Source organism: Homo sapiens, chromosome 13 (assembly GCF_000001405.40).
Source record: "Homo sapiens chromosome 13, GRCh38.p14 Primary Assembly".
In the NCBI taxonomy this organism is placed as follows: Eukaryota; Metazoa; Chordata; class Mammalia; order Primates; family Hominidae; genus Homo; species Homo sapiens.
Window position 1 is genome coordinate 56,319,486 of NC_000013.11, and position 22,311 is coordinate 56,341,796.

Consider the following 22,311-nt stretch of genomic DNA (forward strand, 5'->3'; position numbering starts at 1 on the left):
AGGGAAGAAACAACTATGATATGCCAAATTTAATGGGTATACAGGAAAAAATCATACAAAGGGGACAGAGGAAAAATTTAGAAACATTTCAGGTAACTTTTGTAAAATTTTCATAAAAAATAACAATGTTATATTTTGTTTAACATAAAAATTTCAATGAAAGAAAGTATTGTTCAACATTGATTAGAGTGAATCATACTAGAAAATGAACAATATTAGATAACAGAAAATCAGACTGAAATATCATATTGCCATTTATTAAGCATATGTCTTTGAAATACCACTATTTTTCAAATATCTTTAGCATGAAAGTGGGGTTATTGATATCTGCACTTTTTTCAGTTTTTTTTAAAAATGCCAAATTATGTGATTTATAAACCTCAAAATACTCTAACTTCAAATGACAGTGTTTACACAGATATCCAATAAGGTCATTCAGTCCAATAACATTAAATTTTAAAATTATAATTAAAGGTATATATGAACATAGTTTAAAAATTATACTTAATAAAATCACTTTTGATGACAAAAGGTGGAACTCTAACCTGTTCCTTTCTTTTCCACCCTCCCTTATAACATGAAATACTGTTATTTTGCCCTTTATCAACTTTAACATTATCTAGTAACATCCTGTATCATAGAGGAAGCTTTACATCTTTTCTGTTAACAATTTTTAAAACCACTTCTTTTTTTTTCCTTTTTTTCAATGAGATTCATCACAATTGTTAATTAAATATACAATCAATGTGTATCTTGTCATATAATTATAGTTCACTTCTGAGCTAAAGCATGTCATATATTGTTTCTTTCATTGCATATGTCTTTATTTTTTCCTAAACTTAATATTTTCCTTGCATGTATTAACTTAGTTTATAAAAGTTACATTACTATTTCAGCTGTTTCACCAGATCTGCTAAATACATGCCAATATTTTCAAAATGCTTAACTGTGTAAATTATACTTCTTTTTTTGTCTTAGAGTCCTCCCTCTTGAATTCTTATTATTTTCTGCTTAATTTGGACTCTGGCCTGATGCACTGCTAATGACATGAAACGGTCCTTTCATTTGGGAGACTTCTACTTTGTAAGCTCCTCTGTCAGAACTCTTGTTCACTGGTTACTTGTGATACTAGTTCCTGGTCAATTCATTGTTTGGTAAGGCACAGATTGCATTAGATTCCAAGAAAGAGCGCGTGGGAGATCAATTTTCTAGTATTTTACCTTAATTTTATATATTCACCTGGTTAATAGTTGATATGGTTAATGGGTTGAATACCAGCCTCAAAAAGATATGTCTGTGCCTAACCCCCATAATCTGTAAATGTGACATTATTCAAGAAACAAGTCTTTGCATATTTAAATTACATTAAAGATTTCCAGAAGATGTCATCCAGGGTTTAATATGGTTTCCAAATATAATGACCAGTGTTCTTGTGAGAAAAAAACGTAGGGAGATTTGAGATTCAAACATAAATGGGATAAGGTCACGTGGAGATGAAGTATAAAGATTAAAGTCATGCAGCCTGAAGCCAAGAAACATGTGAAGCCGCCATAAACCAGAAGAGACAAGGAAGGATTCTCCCCTAAAGCCATGGAAGGGAGCACGTCCTTCCCACCTTGCTTTTGGACTCCTGGCCTCCATAATTATGAAGAATGCATTTTTGTTGTTTAAAACAACCAAATTTGCAGCTTGGTTATGCAGCTCTAGAAACAAGTAAAGTAAAATAAAGAATTTTATGTAGGAAATGTTTTCAATCTTTCACCAACTATTGTATTTTGCATTATTTAATCTTGTTATATCACAATTCAATACTGTGTTTGGAAAACTCAAGAAAGTATGATTTTCAACAATTTGTATATAATATAAATTTTGTTTTGTTTCTCTTTAAAAGCTTTAAGACATTTGCTAACTCTTATGTCTGGAAATTGAATACTAATAACTTTGTATTACCATTATTGTACATTGAGATTGGCACTCATTGGATAACTAGAAAAGTCAAATTCTTCAGTCCTAGAAAATTTTCTGAATGTTTGTTTTAATTAAAGGTATCTACCAGACATTTTCTCTTCCTTCTTTCATTCATTGTTATTATTTGATTCTAGAAGTCATTCCCATCTCATTGCTTCTCTCAATTTTTATTATTTTTGCCTTTTGCTTTATTTTAAATTTTGGAAAATACTGAGTTTTATTCATTGAACGTTGTATTGCTTTAATTCCTACCATTCTGTTTTTTAAAAATAATTTAACTTTTATTTTAAGTTCAGGGGTACATGTGCAGGTTTGTTATATAGGTAAATTTGTATCATGGGACTTTGTTTTACAGATTATTTTATCACCGAGGTATTAAGTCTCGTACCCATTAGTTATTTTTCCTGATCCTCTCCCTCCTCCCACCCTTCACCCTCCAGCCTCTGAAAGTCCCCAGTGTATGTTGTTCCCCTCCATGTGTTCTCATCTTTAGCTCCCACTTATAAGTGAGAACATGAGGTGTTTGGTTTTCTGTTCCTGTGTTAGTTTGCTAAGGATAATGGCCTCCAGCTCCATTTGTGTCCATGAAAAGGACATGATCTCATTCTTTTTTATGGCTGCATGGCATATCATAATGCATATGTACCACATTTTCTTTATCTAGTCTAACATTGAGGGGCATTTGGGTTGATTCCATGTCTTTGCTATTGTAATAGTGCTGCAGTGAACATATGCATGCATGCGTCTTTATAATAGAACAATTTATATTCATTTAGGTATATACCCAGTAATGGGATGGCCCATTCTTTTTCTACATTTTTAATTTCTTCCAATTATTTATTCTAAATAAACATTTTCTATTACATTTCTAATATATAAAACATAGTTTCTAACAATTTTTTTCTCCTATTTCCTTCTATTTCTGTTTTATCAGTCTTCTGATTTTTAATAGTTTGTTTTGTTTTTTCTTTACTATCGGAGAAGTTCTTCATGTGTCCACTATTGGCTTTTCAATCATATTTATTTAGAATTTTAATGCTTAGGGTTTTTCAATGACTGAACTATTTTAATGAGCTATAAATGATGACTAGTCAATAGCTTATGTCATAAGTGCAACCCACATATATCAGTATAGAAGTCTTTTCTTGAGAGCAGTTCATTATCCTCCAGGAAAAAATCCTCCAAATCCTTCAACTTAAGGTCTGAGTAGGGACATTTTGAAAAATGAGCAAAAAGAGGAAGCTTGGTTATCCATTGTTCAGAGTGAAATTATTTTTCACTTAAATTTCCAGTTCTTCAAGTCTGTGTCTCCCACACACACTTGTTTTCTTTACCTGAAGAAATCTAACTGAAAAGTGTTCCAGAAAATAGATGTTTATCACTAAAGGGTAGAAATTAGAGCTTGAAAGTGGAGGGAAAAGACTTAGAGGCCTAACTAATACCAGTGATGATTTTCTTATTTTCTTTCCTTTCCTAATACCTTAGTCCTGTAACTTCTGAGACTTTGAAAGTTTCTACTAGTCAAATTGACTTATTTTTCCTTTGGGATCTGTTCTATAAAAACCAAGGTTCAGTTCATTTTTTCTCTCCTTCATATTATCTTTGATAAGTGATCTCCAGCACTGTCTTCTGTCAAAGATTAAGTTGTGTCTCATTTATTTTGGAATATTCAGTGCTCGGCGCACTTTTTGAAACAGCAGATTTAGTATAATTGCATTATGAATTGTTACAATATATTTTGTAGCCCATAAGTCTTTAAGCTAGAAGAAATGGTGTAACCAAAATAAAAAAATAAAAGTTTTATTATAAATTAACTCTTGTTTCTTATTTATATTTAACAATAGACTATTCTAAGAGAAATGCATGTCAAATGAGAGCCAATGCATTTTTGATGATATTGAAGAAATAAATTTATCTAAACTCTTTTTTCTTGACATGTTTATGTTTCATAGGCTTTAATGGGATATGATTTATATAATGTTATGACATTTTAAGTGTACAGTATTAATGCTTTTTAGTATTTTTACAGAATTACATATTGATATTCATAATCTAACTTTAAAATATTTCCATCATTTCAGAGTAAATTCTATCTTGTTTGCATTCACTCCTCACAATCACCTAGGCCCTAGACATCCATTAATTTATTTTCTGTCTTTCTAAATGAGCCTTTGCCATTATCCTTAGCAAATTAATGCAGGAGCAGAAAACCAGGTACCCCATGTTCTCACTTATAAGTGAGAGCCAAATGATGAGAACACATGGATGTGTACAGGGGAACAACACACACTGGGTACATTTGGAGGGTGGAGAGTGGGGAGAGAGAGAGGATCAGGAAAAATAACTAATGGGTATTAGGCTCAATACCCGGGTGGTGAGATAATCTGTACAACAAACCCTCATGACACAGTTTACCTATGTAAAAAACCTGCACATGTAACCCTGAACTTAAAATAAAAGTTAAAAAAATGAGGGAAAAGAAGGAGCAAACCTCAAAAGTATTAAGTTAAGTAAAAGAAGTAGCTTTCAAAAAGATTGCATAATTTATAATACCGCTTATCTAAACTGCTTTACAAGGGATACACTTATCCTATTATTAAGATTGAAAATGTACAAATAGGTCTAAAATTTGGGAAATGATGGTGTGATGTATTATTACATACTGTAAGAGCAATCTCCAAATAAAGATGCTCCATGCATAATTTAAGATCTCACAGGAATTCCACCAAGTCTTAACTAAAATTGTTAAATCTACACTAAGAACCATATAAAATCTATGCAAAATGAATATAAAATAGTTTTGATTAACAATGAATGGCATGTTTTCTGATAAATTAGCAAATATTTGATTTGAAATATAAAGAATAACAGAAATGTGAAAAAGTAATAAATTCAACACAAAAGGGTGACATGATGAAACTTCCTCCAGTGATTCTAGATATTATGACTGTTTCAGTATGAACAAAATTATCAATGAAAAGGTTGCATCAATTAAGTGTTTTTTGAAAAGTAATGTAGAATTAGAGATAAACCAGAATTAAAAATATACAGGTTCCAGAAAAAAAAAAAAGACTGAATTCGGTAGTTAAATCAGTCATAATTAAAGACAGAGTAAGATAAAATATCTAAGTTTTTTTTTATTTGAGCAATCATAATTTAAAAGCCACAATAAAAAGACAACTCCCAGGCTACTTTCATCACAGAATCATTGCAGAGAAGGCAATAATGTCAAGGATGTGGAATATATCTACTTAAAAATAGCAAATAAAATATTTCATAAGTGTCATGGAATAGTGATAAAAAATTCAAATTGACTTGGATAAAAGCAGAGCCTTGTGGATATAAAACTGACTGAAGTATAACAAACAAAATGTCAGAGTATTTAATGGAGTGCCACAGGGATCAGTGTGAGGGCTGATCTTATTTAACAACTTAATTAATGATCTGGAAGATGGAGAAAACAGTATGTAAATGAAATTTGTAGCTGATATCAAATTGGAAGTTTTGCCAACACCAATTAAGATAGCAAAATTGTTTTAAAAGAGAAGTTACAGAGGTTAGAAATATAAAGAAGAAAAAGCAAATCATATGCTTAATTTATTAGAAGAGAATAACAAATAAACTTTGAAAAAAATGAGTAATACTTACCTTTAAAATACTGGAAACAGAATGAGAATGTAAGAGAATTTTAAAAACAAACTGCCAAAAAAATTTTTAAAACTTTGACATTTCTTGAGGGTTCAAATACTCTAAAATGTGTAATCTCTTTTTTCAAATGCCAAGGTTGATATATCTATATTAAAGCTCAGAAAACAATATAACTAAAGTAAATTTAATAATAGAAGTAATGCTGAAGTTTTATAGGACTTACTTCTTTATGACAGACACAGTAAATTTGGGAAGAACATATTGGCAATTAATTCAGTTTAATATAGCTACTACAATATGATTTACAGCTGTATGATACATTCACTTCTATCAGTAAATGGTTTGTTGTCCACATCAGTAGAGTTGCTTTGATAAGGAATTCCTAAAATAAATTTTTCTTGAATAGAATTTTTTGGCACATAGAGTTGCATGATTCAACAAGGCATCACAAGAAGATAAAAGACTTCAAATTGAGAGAGATGTATTTTTATATGAGTGCTGCTTATCATCAAAAAACATCATCACCTTTCTCTGTAAATGAGATAGATATCTAAATGCATAACATTGTTGTAGGGATTAAGAGAAGCACATTTTAAAAATACCAAACATTATGCATGTCATATTGTTGGTGCTCAATACATATTCGCGCCCTCAGTTTGGAATTTATTCCTGCAGTAGAACCAATAAACCTCATGGATTGCAGAACTGGTCGAAAACATCAGTGGAGGCAATTTTATAACTTTTCTTACAGAATGATGTAATTGGAAAAAATATCTAAAAAATATCTACTCAAGTAGAGTCAAAATGAATGTGTGTCTATTTACAAGTAATTATTGAGTGGAAACTATGGGTCAGGCACTGTTCCAGACATTGGAAACTCAATGGAAAGAAAATGAAACAAAAAATATCCTCTGTCTTCCCAGAGTTTATATTCCAAAGGAGGGAAGCAGACACAATCCAGTAAGCAATCATTTACATATGTGAATCTGTAAGTGCTATAGGAAAAAGTACATCTGTAAAATGGGGGTGGGGCTGTGGAATTCCCACCCAGCAATGGGGATGGTGGCATATTTGGGAGATGCTTGGGAAGATATCTGAGCAGAGGCCTGGAGTAAATAAGCAAATCTGCAGGTATTTGTGAAGTGGAATTTCTGCCAAGATGAGAGCCAAGGCAAGGACTCTGAGATAGACAGTGTGTGGTGTTTCCTGGTACCTGTAAGAAGGCCAGTGACATGGAGCTCACAGAATGAGGAAATTGACAGAATAAGAGGGAGAAGAGACTCTGCTAAAACTGGTGCTATTTAGACATTAGTGATAGTTCTATATTAATGCTGATAGTTAGACATTATTCCAAGTACAATAAAAAGCCATTGGAAGACACGAAATGGAAGGGTGAAATTGTTTTCCTTGATTGTTTTTAATGGAAGGCCTCAGCTGCTGTGTGGTGAATAATTAGAAGTAAATCACAGAAGTAAAAGTTCTAGCAGAGAGACCATTTATGAGTCAATTACAATAATGCAGGAGTCCGAAAATAATGGAGGAGGTAAGAAGGCATCAAACCCTGGAAATGTGTTGAAAATAAAACTCAAGTAATTTACTTGTTTAATAGATGTGGAGTATAAGGAATCAAAGATGATTGCAGAAATTTATCCTGAGCAAATAAAGAACAGAGTTTATGTTTATTGAAGTGGATAATACAACAGAAGGAGCAAGTCTATTGCCTATAGGAGGGTGGAAATCAGCACTTCAAATTTGGTTATAATGTACTGACTTTTAAGTCATCCAATTGGATATGCAAATGAGGAAGTAAGATATACAAATTTGGAGTCCAGGAAAAATAGGGCCTCAAGATATAAATTTGGGAGCTAACAGTTTATAGAAAACTTTTAAAACCTTGAGCTTGACTGAGCATAGATAGATGAGAGAAGAGGTCCAAGACCCAGGACACTCCAGAGTATAGAGATTAAGAGATGAGGAAGCACCAGGAAAGGAGATTCAGATACATGAGAAAATTTGTCTCTCTGCAATGTATCATTTCATTATAGATTATGGCAAGAACACGTGCTGCTCTAGAGGCCTGGTAAAACACAAAGGAAGAAATGGTTGAACTTTGGTTTCAAGATGGAATTTTGGAAATAGAAGTGAAGGGAACAATTATAACAAACTTTAAATTGTCTTGTTTTCTATGGGGAGCAGAGAGATGAGGCTAGAGAGGTACATAGAATCAAGAGAGTTTTACAACATGGTGTGACATTACGGAACGTTTTATGATGAATGATTCTATGAGAGGAAGGACTTGATATCTCAGGTGAGAGAAGATATAACTTTTGGACCTGAATGTTAGTACGTGACAGGAAACAGGACTCAGTTGACAGGTGGGCAGAAGGTGGGTTATGTGGGTAAGAAATTTGTTTGTAGATGTGGGGGTGAAAGCATATGGATATTATCAGAAAGTTAAAATGTGGCAGAATGCCGGGGGCTTGAAGAAGGAGGAAGTGTAAAATCTCATATAGAACAAGAATAATCTAAGGAAATGAGATATCATTGTCCCCCACACAGGACTTTATTAGAAGACACAAATTTGAGTTCCAGTCAGCATGCTTTTACTGTTTTCTACAATCTCACTTAACTGCTTTGGTGCAGTTTCAGAGAGAGTAGGATTTAACTAGGGTTGTGTGAGAAATGATAGAGGGGACTGGATATTAAGAACATATTCAGGACAGTTTTTATAATGTTGTGCCATGAACTGTAAGCAACATAAAAGAGAGGAATGATGACAAGATACAATGAAAGCTTCTGCAGCCTTAGTAAATCTTTTTCTTACTGTGCATGCACATGGCTGTGCAATAACAAACATTATATAATAAATATAAGCATTCTGAGTGCTGTTCAGAGCCAAATTATTTTTTGTAAAGCTTCATAACAATACACCATAATTTACAATACCACACATGTGCTTGCTATTAGGCAAATCTAGCTAGGTATCTGAGAGACATACCATTTTTATAAAACCCCACTATCCAACATTCTAGCTCAGTGGAATCTCTGCTCCAGACTCTTAGGAGTTAATTTATCACTGAGAAAGGGTTGCCTTTTAGGCAACCCTAAAAAGCAGATGCCTAGCATCTATGCCTATGTTGCAGATATAAAAAGAAATTTGCTTCCAATAGTTCATGAGTTACAATGGATTCCGTGAAAGTGTTTGAGGGGTTGAAGATGTGTAGGTTATGTGGGAATTGTAGGGAATGTACAAACTTTGATGAAGAGGAACTTGTTGGGATCATGGGTTTTATATAATAAAATATATTATATTTGTAAGGAATTTCTGATATCACAGCTTAAGTTCTCTGGGAAGACAACCCCAAGAGTGAGATCAGAGTGTACAACATTTATTAAGGTGATGCCTAGTGATCAAAACTTGTGAAAATGAGGGGAAAGAAACAGGGCTGGGCAAAAGGAGAGCTCTGGCTACAAGGCAGTTCTATCAAAGGCCTTAGTTCATTCCACTGTAGCCACTAGAGCTAGATGATCCCTCTAGGCTGTTCAGAGTTGGGGAGAAGGGTAGGCCTTTTTACCCTTGCCTTGATCAGTAATTTGTGGTAGGGCCACCTTATGAAGGAGACGTGAATCGGGCAAAGCAGCTGTCTTCTGTGTAGGAAATAACTAGAGAGGACTAATAGATGAGATCCATCTGCTGGCAGAACTTCCAGCATTTGTGGGGACAAGTCCCTAATGCAGAATAGAGATCTGAACGATGTAGTAAAGCATCCAGCACCTTTGATTTCAATGGGCAGTGCCCTAGCACTTCTTCTGGATATCATATTTAAAAAAGTAAAAGAAAGGAAAATGAAAGAAAGAAACCTGCAATTTGTGATATTTTGTATGTAAATGGAAAAAACTACTTAGGTTCTTTCTGAATTCTTAAGAATTCTATTATTTGCATGACAAAGTATCTATCTTAACTGGTAAATTTGTTGTTGAAATACCTATTATGGTTTTATTAAAAAATTAGTTGACAACAATTAAAAATACAACTTTAGCACCACAATATTATATTTATATACTCCCCAAAATTAGATAAATTATCTGAATATTAATTTTGGGTTTAATATTATACAACTTCATGACTCAGATTACATATTTATATATTTTATTATATTTTACTGCATTTTTATCTGATTTATAAAAAGCTATTCATCCGTTACAGCTTCTATCTTCTGGCACTAATAACTACTTTTTACAATGATAAAATAAAAAAATGCAATTTAAAATTTATCTTTAAGATTGATAATTATGTTCCAGATTCTAACTTATGGTAAAACTATGGTCCAAATCCCATCTTACATTTGCACAACAGAATTCATATATTTAATAAAAAGGTAAAGAAATTGCTAGATATCCTGAGCATTATATCATTTTTGAGAACTGCAATAGTCATCGACTGGTCAATATTTGCATATGTTTGTGCTTGTATTGGATGTATTTCCTGAAGAACTAGAACATAAAATTTAGAGAGATAAATCAGAATTATTTCACTTTTCTAAAATACAGAAAACGTGTGCTCATTAATTTTATTTTTCCTTTTCAAGGAAAATAGCATTTAAAATTAAAATTGCTTTATGAATTGCTTAAAATATCTCAGAAAAAATAATAAGATCAAATTCAGTTAGTTTCAAATTATCTATGGAAGGTGTTAATATAAAGCAAGATGGAATTTTCATTTGCAGTGAAGTACTCATCTATCAAAGTGAATTAACTTTTCAGCTAAACAAGTACCCTTTAATCAATGGTGTCTTCTGAACATCTGTCCAAGTTGGCTTGTTATACATGAGTTTTATCCCTGCCTACAGTTGAGATTGCAAGCTCATAAAAAAAAAAACAAAAACGGTGCTGTGGCTATATTTCAGATGCTGCTTTTTCTAGGCTCAGTCTGCCACACTCCCTTTGCTTTAATCTCACTTATTGTAGGTTGGTTCTGCGTTCCTATTTGTCTCAAGCTCTTTGGATCAACATGATTGTTAAGGGTTTGACTTATTTTAGCTTACCTCAGATGCAAATCCTTCCTCTGTGCTCACAATCTGTCCTGTCTTTTTGGACAGTGATTATTCATTTGTTACACAGATACTTATTACTGATAGTATTGCATCCACACTGGACATGCAATAGCCCTTACTCTCAAAGAGCTTAAAGATCATATGGAAAAAAAAGAAATGTAAATAAAAAATAGAAGTTAGCAGAGAATCTTTTGGAGCAGGAAAGGCATTTGACTACCCAAGGCCCTATATAAATTATAATTTATCTACATCCTTCTATGCTTATCCTATAGAAAATATGGCCCAATCAGCAATCTTTAATCTTGGTAAAACTATTGCAACACTTCTTTTTGGTGGTTCAGTCAGAGTTAAGGAAAACACACTGCAGAGAAATACATTCTTCTGGCCAAATATCCTCTTATTTCTCTATTTTATTTATTTTAAAAAATGGGCTTAATAAACAAAGCTTTACCAGTCAGTAGTATAATTCTCTTTCTGGGAAGTCATCTGCTGAACTGAAAGAATCATGCTGAGAAATGTCATTTCTTTCTCATTCACTACTGTATTCTTATGCTTTACAAAATGTCTGGCACTAAGATACTTAATACGTACATTTTTCATGTCAACAAATAACTAAATTAATGAATAAATTAACAGAAGTTTGACCTTACCTTAGAATAGCCACATCTCCAGTTCTAATACATCACACACACACACACACACACACACACACACACACACACACTAGAGATCGCTGATCACCAATCTAGGGAAGTACGTTTTCATGGTGTTTACTAATGACTATTTGATGTTGCCCCCCAGCGCTTCTGAAATGGGTAATGGAGATGTAATCACTTAATTAATTTAAAGATAGGGTCACACGTACTATTCTATGGCTGATTTGATTCAATCTCAGTTATGTTGTATCCCCAAAATGGGTATAAAATTCTCAGCATAGTCCCAATAACACAACACCTGTGATATTAAGTATACATAATATTTCAATATAGTATGATCTAGAAGAGAATAAGATGCTTTTATTATCAAACAGGTAATTTCATTTTCATATTTAATTTACCAAAAATAAATATTTTCATCTGTTTCTACAGAGAAATAAATTTAAATGCATATATAAACATGTACCATGCCCTCTTCCAGATACCAAACCATGTTTAAATCTCTAGATGTTTTGCCACCTTCCGGTGCAGCTGCATGCTAGAAACTAAACATGACTGCGGTGAAAGACAACCAGGCATCGCTTGTAGGTATTGGATAAGCTCAGCATATTACTGAAAGCTTGAGAAAATCACAACATTACTTAAGACATAGTGTGATGGATGAATTCATCAATTTGCAAACAAAAATAACAGACATATTTTCCTTTATGGGCACAGGACTTTCTTAGTACATGGATGCATGAAAAATCAACACAAATAACATATCGTCTTCAAATACCAAATACCACAGTCTCTAAAGAATATCTGTTCCTGAAATGCTTTTGCTGCATCAAGCAAAATGAGAATGTTTGTCAAAGATGAATACAAGTAATCATGACCAGCTTGGTTACATAGGTGATTTGTGACTTCACGTGGAGTGAAAGATAAATAGATGATACAGAATCGTCATGAGGTTATAGAGAACCATGAAGACAGAGACGAAAGGTAATATGGAGAGGTGAACTTAAAGTTAGATACACAAAAATAAATATGAAGAAAAAGAAAGAAGCTTTAGGGAGGACCAGTGGACTAAAAGTGCTGTGATAGAGTATTTCTAAATTTTGAAAGAAAATAAGAGCCTTTTTGACTTCAAGAGAGATGACAGTCTATATGGACAGAATTATTTCCTTAAAGTTTTGGGAATGGTCATGGGCAATTCTTCCCACTTGAGTTTCCAGTCCACACGTCCTGATTCTGGACAACAAAGTTAAAACTAGAAAGTGATGTTATTTTCTTTTTAAAATTTATTGCGCTCACCTACTTTACTTTTCTGGAATAATACTGTGTACTGTGACCTATTATTTGCAGTAGCAATGTCACTAAAATATTTTAAATATCATCATTGTTGTTTTTGCTTGGGAGACATGTTTATTTATAGGAATTAAGACATTCTATACCTCAAAATCATTGCCAAGACTTTTAAAGTTTCCCTTGGGCTCTCTAAATATTTTCCGTGTGGAAATAGTGATGTAACATTCTTTAAAATATTAGAAAAGACACTTGTGAGGCTAGAGAAAGTAACTAATCTAAGCTAGGAAGTGCTGCCTGAGAAATTTCAGTTCCACTGAAAGATCTAGACTGCAGACCTTATAGAATGAGCCCAGAATCTACCTTTTATCAGTTGAAACTCTCAAGCTTTGTTGTTACTGACATTCAAACACGTCAATTATCTTCCTGATCCTAGCTTCACTCTTCATTAAAATGAAAATAATGATATTCAACTTATTGTTATGAAAAAGCTGTTTTAAAAACAATATATGGTAAAGCAGATAATACATTCATCTTGTCCCTTGATTCACAATGAATGATTGATATGTTTTAATTTTTTATTTTATATGATGATAGCTAAGAAACCTCTATTGAATAATGTGTATACCAGAGTAATACAAGTTGGAGAGATAAAAGCATTCAGAGTAAAGAGAAAGACATTGAGAAATTGAGATAAATCTAAGGAAATGATGCAATAAAATGACAGGCTTATGAGGGGAACTTAGGAAAATGCAATGGCTGGAAAAGGAGAAGCAAGTATGGTAACAGGAAGAGTCAAAGAAAATGAAAGAACCCATTGCCCATCAGGAGGTTTACTGTCACATGACCATTCCCCAAACCTTAGGGAAATAATTCTGTTTATATAGACTGTCATCTCTCTTGAAGTCAAAAATTTCAAAATTTAGAAATATTCCATCACAGAACTTTTAGTCCTCTCTATAAAGCTTCTTTCTTTTTCTTCATATTTATTTTTGTATATTTAACTTTAAGTTCACCTCTCCACTTTACCTTTGATCTCTGTCTTCTTGGTTCTCTTAAACATTAAATTGTTAATGGAACTCCAAATAAAGGCACAGCTTATTTTTAGTATTCACCCCCCTACATTTCTCAATAAAATAGTTTGATAGTTCGAAAATTATGAATTTAGAAATGTATTGTCAGATTATCTGTAATGTAAATATTTTACTGCTTTTTAAAATAAAAAAATTAAAAACGCAGTTATATTTTAAAATAAACAGACAAAAATAGCCTTTTTTAACAATTTACATTTATTTTGTATACCTGTCAAATATATTCCTTAGCAAGAGGCCCGTTCTGGAGCACCAAGTAACGTTTAATGTGGAGGTAATTTCTGCAGATGCTCTAGCTGTCAGGGCTGCTTTTAAAAGTTGTTTTCAGGGTGTCATTCACAGGCATTAACTTATGTTGTGATATTTTCTGCACCTTGACCTCACAACCTGCTTGATATGCATAACACTTTGCTCTGTCTTCAGAATTTGTTGCTTAAGAATGACCTTGTCTCACGTCCTCTCACTTCATACAGTGTTGGAAAGGTATGTGCATTATTCTTGTTGATAGGCTTTCTGAATTTCTTGATAGGCTCTATGAATTTGGATGCTCATTTTTTTTTTTTTTTAGTACAGATCACTTTTCACCAATGGTGAATTACTGAGCTCACTGACACACATTCTCAAGAGCAGCTACTGTATTTAAACGTGTATGTTCATTTGAATTAGAAGAATTGCCTCATTTTTGAAGAAAATGTGCAATTGAGTTTTACTAATACGAATTATGACTATCCCATATGAAGAAGGAAAAAGAGCCACTTTAAACTCATATTCTAGTCATTTTTATAAACCAACACTTGGATTTCTTAAGGAAAATTTCATACAATGTTTACCAAAATTCTAATTATAAAAACAGACCAAATTTATAAAAGCTAGACCATATGCACCAAAAGGTAAAGACACTAAAAATTATGAAAGAAAATTTCACTTTTTCCCTATTATAATAAATTGAAATGCCAAACAAATAGACTCAAGCAAGTAAAGACAATATGTAACTTAGTCCATTTAGGAATTAGTCCTGCCTCTGTGGGCAAATGGTAGATCTAAGAAACCACGTAGCATCAAGAGAATATATGCATTGGCTAAGAATCTTTATTTATGTATATTAAATAATTATATTTTTATCTCATTATGTTGCTTAATAATGACAAATGATAAGACACAATTTCTCCTCTTAAGAAGCTTTTTATATCAAATTATGTTAAATTAAAAATACCATAATCTTCTTAATCTTTAAAGAGGTGATCGTTTTAGGGTTTTTTTTTAAGTGTATGTTTGGCTGGAAATATAAGTCTAAACATAATTATTATTTAGAGATTTTGTTATGACTGTAGTTTCATAAATACCTACATTACATTTCAATGTATTGCATGTAATATATTACATTTCAATGTATTTCAGCATTGAAATAAATTCTAAAATGCCATTTTCACTCTTTCAAAATCAGGTTGAACAAAGAGAAATCCAGTTTCAGAGCAGGAAGAAGAATACTGATTGTGTTCAGGCTACATAAATCATGAATCACTCAGTAGATATTCTGCGTCCCTATTTTATGTCATTCTCTAGATACACTATCTTAACTGCTTTTTTTTTTTTAACCTGTTCTTACAACACTGCATCTTATATCACCAAGGCTATATTGTTAATTGGAGTTTCCTGGATCACAGTGCATATGCATCCCTAAAGTAACCTGTACCACTCTTTATTTTAGTAAATAGTCTGCATTCTATTTTTTTATTAAAAGTATCTAATTAAAATAAAATAATTTAAAACACATATGTTTAACTGGACACTCAGGACTGGTTCAAAAATTGAGAATTTAAGAAAAATTTACCACAACAGTAGCTTTAGTCCCCAAAGTATTATTAGTGGACTACTTTCCAAAACAGTTATTTATGCCATGTTTTCCATAAAAAATAATAATAATAATAACAGTAAATAAATAATAAGAAAAACAAACAAACTAAGCAAACTGAAAACTGAGGTCACAGGGAGAACTGCAACTCCAAATATTGGAGAAAGAGACAAGTACAGAAAAACACTGCTGAGGTCAGCTTACCTGGAGCAGAACTTGTCATGTTTGTAAATTTGTGGAAATACTAAAATGGTAAGTTTGACCAATGGTAGAGTCTAATTAGCTAGGTAAGAAAGAGTTTCCTAAGATCATAGACTGAGGTAGGTTTCATACACTGTCATGTGTTTCCCCTCCAGGAACCACATCATGTTCTCATGAAGAGCCAAGAAAAAGATGCTTCATTTCTTCAGCAAGGGGAGGGAAAAATGTAATCATTTTGAAATAATACAGTGAACTATTTATAACAAAAGCCTACTCTCCAGAAAATGACCTTACCAAAGCTCATAATAGAAGGATCATTATCCAACTCCAGCCTTCGTCTTCCTATTCCACCTACAGGGGAAAGGGAGAAGCGAAACAAAGAAAAGTGTAATTAATAGAAAAAAAGTTATAAGCATGGCCTATGTTAATTCAAAAGTACTAATAAGTATCACTGTTATACATAGTCTGAATTCACTAATAAAAGACACAGCCACAGTGATTTTAAAAAATAAAAGACACAACTATACGCTATTGTAAAGACACAAATTTAAAGCAAAAGAGTGAAGAAAGATATGACAAAGTAACAATAGTTTTTTTTAAATTAAAAAAAGTTGGAGTAGCTATCTAAATTTCAGATAAATCATGACAACAAGGAAATTATTAGTGTCAAGAGAAGCATTAGCTAATGATAAGGGAAGTAATTCTGTAAGATGACATAACAATTTTTAATATGTATGCATTAACATTACATCATCAAAACACATGAGGCAATAAACAGAAATGCAAAGTGAAACAGAAAAATCCATTTTTATAGCTGAAAGGTTAAACACCTTTTTTTTTTTTTAGTAAATGAAGATCAAACAGGCAAAACTCAGTAAGTATGTAATTAACCTGAATAGTACTATCGCTTACTCCATCCAACAATAACAAAATACACATTCTTCTCATGCTCACATGAAACATTCATTGAGAATCTCCTCTGGGTCATAAAATATACCTTACCAAATCTAAAGTCATAGAAAATATATGAAGTATGGTTGGCTACAGTGGAATTAAACTAGGAGTAAATAACAAAGTGGTAGATGCACAATCACAAAATATTTGATGATGAAATAACATAGTTCTATATAACACATAGTCAAAACATAAGATGAATTATAATAGATTAAAACTAAAAATATATTTTATGAAAATTTGTTTGATGCAGCTAAATAATTAAACCATATATATATTTACATATTATAAAAGTAGGAGAATATGAAATCAATAATCTAAGTTGGAGTGTTAAAGCACTAGCGAAATAAATAAAATTTAAGCCAAAAGTAGGGAGAAGAGAGTTATAATAAAATGCACAGCTACTATAAATGAAATTAAAACCTGGAAAACACTAGAGAACATCAATGAAACTAAAACCTGTTTCTTTAGAAAGATCAATAAACCTGACATATCACCAGCCAGATTAAAAAAGAAAAGTAAAAGATAAGAGAACCAACAAATTACCAATAAAAAAAAATTGAAAAAGGGGTCATCATTACTAATCCCCATGAATATTAATAAGATAATAAAGAAATACACTGAACAACTCTATACCTACAAATTGAAAGATTATTATTTTTTCTTTTTTGGGAGAACAGAGTCTTGCTATGTTGCCCAGGCTGGTCTCAAACTCCTGGGCTCAAACTATCCTCACACTTCTGCTTCCCTAAGTTCTAGGATATCAGGCATGAAATACCATGCCTGGCTCAAATTTGATAATTTTGATGAAATTGAGAGATACATTAAAGGAAGTATATTGCCAAAACTAACACACGAGTACTACCAATCTTACTAGGCCTATCACGTTAATTACACTGAAACAATAATTAAAAACCTAACAAAAATAAATCACCAAGCCCAGATAATTTCACCAGTGAATTCTATAAAACTATTAAAGAGAAAATAGAAACTCTCTCCAAACTATTCCAGAAAATACAAGTAGAGGAAACACTTCTTCACTAATCCTATAAAGCCATCAATACCTTAATATGAAAAACAGAAAAAGACATTGAAAGGAAACTATAGACCAATGTTTCTAATGAACACAAGTGCAAAAATCTTCAAGAATGTATTAGCTAATTGAATCAAAGTGTTTCAAAAGAATTACACACCATGGCCATTGAGATTCCTTGTAGATATGCAAGGCTAAATTGACATTTGAAAATCAATTTATATAATCCATCTGATCAAAGAGTAAACACAAAAAAGCTATATTATCACATCAAGTGGAGGAAAAGCATTCAACAAAATCCAAAATGGGAACAGCTTTCAGAAATCTAATAATAGAGAAGTTGATAAAAATATACAAGAAACTTACAGGTAACATCATACTTAATGGTGTGAAATTAGACTCTATCCTAAGATCAGGAACAAAAAACAGATGTCCCTCTCACTAACCACTATTCAATAGTGTATTGAAATTCCTAGACAGTGCAATAAGACAATATAGGAAAACAGTGTGTGAGTAGGAAAGAAAGAAATACAACTGTCCTTTCCATAGATGACATGAGCACCTGTGTAGAAAATCTCTCAAAATTGACAAAACCTTCCTCCCAAAGACATGTAAACAATAGCAAAGGAATGAATAAAAGTCTGCTGGAACCAATCAGCAATTACAGCAAAGTTATAGAACACAGGGTAGTACACAATAGCCCATTGATTTTCCATGCACCAGCAATGAACCATTGGAATTTGAAATAAAAAATATAGCACTATTCATGATGCCACCATAAAAGGGAAATACTTAGATGTAATTCTAACCAAATATGCACAAGATCTAAATATGGAAAACTACTAAACTTTGGTACAAGAAACTAAATATTTACATAAATGGAGGCATGTTTTGTGACATGGATAAAAAATTCAATATATTTAGGATGTATACTCTTCCTATATTTATCAACACAAGTCAAAATTCAAGTAAGCATTTTATTAATATTGAAAAAATGTTTCTAAAGTTTGTGTGGAAAGGCAAAAAACCTAGAATAGCCTACACAATGACAGAGAAGAACAAAGTTAGAGTCCTGACATCCCCAAGTTCAAAACTTTCTATAAAGCTATAGTATTCATGAGAATATTTTATTAATAAAAGAAAAGACACATAAAACTAAAGAATAGTTTTTTTTTCCCCCAAGATGGCAGATTAGAGGCTTTTAGTGTGCCTTAGCCGCTTGGAAATAGCAAGATATATATAAAGATTAAGTCCATAAGCATTTCAAGAAGGAAAACAGGAATCCACCAAAACCATGGATACTCCAAATCCCTGATAGGAGAATGTGGGCAAACAGCCCACATGGTGTGATCTGGCTGATAAAAGTGAGTGAAGCCCCAGTATGTGAGAAAGGCAGACAGTCCCCCTCTGTTACTCACTTTTCCACTAGGGCTGCTCTAGGAAGAGTGCTTTGTTTCTTCTAAGCCCTTCAGCTAACTTGGGGAATGGCTTGGAGACACTGAGAGGGAAAATAATGGGAAAACCTGCAGACATTTTCCCTGACCCAGGACAAAGAAAAGGACACCATTTTTAATTCAGGCACATATAAGGCAAGTTGTTATTTGGTTACCTGGCAGCATAAATACAAAGGCATTTTGTTCTCATGTCTGAAATTGGAACACTTGCTTTAGAGCAAGGTAGGGAACACCAAAGCCAGAAATGTGGAAAGTGCCTCAACAATAGGCACTGGAATTGTGCTCTTCCCCATCACAAGACGGTGGTAGGAGGAAAGCTACTACAACCGTGGCTTCTACGGGATGACTTGTAGCCAAGGCCAGCATGGTGAGCTGGAACCAGTCTGTATGTGTTTTGCTGGGTGGCACAGCCTGCTTACCTAGATTGTAGAACGGCAGGACTCTCGGTCCTGCATGCCCTGGCAGAACTCTCAACATTCAAAGCACCCCCATGCCTGAATCAACAGCCTGAGTTACCCCACCTTTCCTGTGCATGGATCCTAGTGAAAGGGGGCCCTATCCATTTCATGCCTAGTCATATCTCTAGGCATCTGGGGCATCCCTTCTCCTGGTTTAGGAGTTTAGGCTGCCTCCCCATCTCCATGCAGAAATCTTGGGGCCAAGGAGGTTTCCCAGCTCCACACCTAGTCACACCTTTGGGTGTTTGGTGGATTCTCACTGGGTTCTCCCTCTGCTCTTTACCTGTGCCTGCCATCAGGGGACCTGTAGGCAGGGCTACCCAGTCCAGATTTTCCCATATTGCACCCACCACACTCTGGGGCTGAGCAGAAAGCTTAGACACCTGTGTGACATATGGGTCAGCCCATTGCCTGAGACAATAGAGAGCTTCTCCCAGTAAATAAGGAGTAAGTGAACACTTAGCTGTGTTGGCCTTAGCTGACTCTTACCCATAATCATTATCTACCAGCTTGTAGGTAAAACCACACAGTCCAATATAAAATCTGCTGACAGAGTGTATAGGGCTATAGAAACAAAGCCAAAAGACCCTCTCCAACATTCTCTAGAATTGTATCTGCTAGGGAGGGAGGAAAGAGGAAAGGGGAAACAATAATATTATAGAGAAAGAAAGAAAATGAAAAAAGTCCGATTCACATAAAAAAAAATTACAAATAGTAGAAGTGTCAGCATCTCCAGATGAGAAGGGACCAGCACAAAAATTCTGGCACCTGAAAAATATAAATGTAGTGACACTACTGAAGAATTACATTAGCTTTCCAGCAAAGACACCTAGCCAAAATGGAAACTCAGAAATGACAGATAAATAATTTAAAGGATGGATTGCAAGGAAGGCCAAGAAGATCCCAAACAAGGTTCAATGTAAACACCAATAAACTTCTGAAGTAATTCAGGAAATGAAGAAAGAGTTAATCATTATTTTAAAAAAAATCTATAGAGCTTCTGGAATTGAAAACCTCAGTTAAGAAATTTCATAATACAATTGAGTATTTTATCAATACATTTCATCAAGCAGAAGAAAGAATTTCAGAGCTTGAAGACAAGTCTTTCAAACTAACTCAGTCAGACAAAAATAAAGAAAAAATAATAATTTTTAAAAATGAACAAAGTGAGAAATATGGAACTATGTAAATAAACCTAATCTATGAATTATTACATTCCTGAGAGAGATGGAAAAACTAAAGACAACCTTCACACCACTCCTATTCAGCATGGTACTGGAAGTCCTAGCCAGAGCAATCAGGAAAGAGAAAGAAGTAAAAGGCAGCCACATAGGAAAAGAAGAAGTCAAACCATCTCTCTTCGCTAACAATGTGATTTTATACCTGGAAAACACTAAAGACTCTGCCAACAGGCTTCAGGAATTGATCAATGACGTTAGTAAAGTTTCAGAATAAAAAATCAATTTATGAAAATTAGTAGCATTTATATGCACCAGTCATGTTTAAGATGAGAGTAAAATCAAGAAAATAAGTCCATTTGCAATAGACACACACACACACACAAATCCCAGGAATACATCTTACCAAGGAGGTAAAAGATCTCTACAAGGAGAACTGCTAAACACTGCTAAAAGAAAACATAGATGACATAAATGATTTAAAAGGCATTCTATATTCATGGACAGGAATAATCAATATTGTTAAAATGTCCATACTTCCCAAAGCAATCTGTAGATTCAATGCTATTTCTATCAAACTGCCAAATACATTTTCACAGAATTACCATAAAACCTATTCTAAAACTTATACAGAACCAAAAAGATCCTCAATAACCAAAGCAATCCTAAGCAAAATAAATAAAGCCAGAGGCATCATATTACTCAACTTTATACTATCAGGTTACAGTAACCAAAACCTCATGGTACTGTTAGAAAAACAGACACAGAGACCAATGGAACATAAAAGATGTGTTAGTTCATTTTCATACTGCTATAAAGAACTGCCCAAGATTGGGTAATTTATAAAGGAAAGAGGTTTAATTGACTCACAGTTCAGCATCACTGGGGAGACTTCAGGAATCTTATAATCATGGCAAAGGTAAAGGAGAAGCAAGGTGCCTTCTTTGCAAGGCAGCAGGAAGGAGAAATGCAGACCCAAGGAGGAAGAGCCCCTTATAAAACCATCAAATCTCATGAGAAATCACTCACTATCAGGAGAATTGCAGACCCAAGGAGGAAGAGCCCCTTATAAAACCATCAAATCTCATGAGAACTCACTCACTATCATGAGAACAGCATGGGGGAAACTGCCCCCATGATTCAATTACCTCCACCTGGTCTCTCTCTTGACATTTGGGGATTACAATTTAAGATGAGATTTGGGTAGGGACTCAAAGCCTAACCATATCATTCTGCCCCTTGCCACTCCCAAATCTCATCTCCTCACATTTCAAAACACAATCACGCCTTTCCAATAGCCTCCCAAATTCTTAGCTCATTTCAGCATTAACCGAAAGTCCAAGTTCAAACTCTCATCTGAGATAAGACAAGTCTCTTCCACCTATGAGCCTGTAAAATCAAAAGCAAGTTAGTTACATCCTACAGGCCCCAGGCAAGTCCAAAGTCCAGTGGGGCAGTCAAATCTTGAAGCTTCAAA

General features: G+C 33.5%; 1 long non-coding RNA gene across 2 annotated transcripts in view; it reads right to left on the reverse strand.

The window, feature by feature from the left end:
• The window catches only part of LOC105370214 (uncharacterized), a 477,307-nt gene that overhangs the window by 61,170 nt on the left and 393,826 nt on the right, over positions 1-22,311 (reverse strand). For both annotated transcript variants that reach the window (XR_941977.3, XR_941978.2), the window contains exon 3: positions 16,052-16,108. This is a non-coding gene — a long non-coding RNA (uncharacterized LOC105370214). The remainder of the gene's footprint in view (positions 1-16,051; positions 16,109-22,311) is intronic.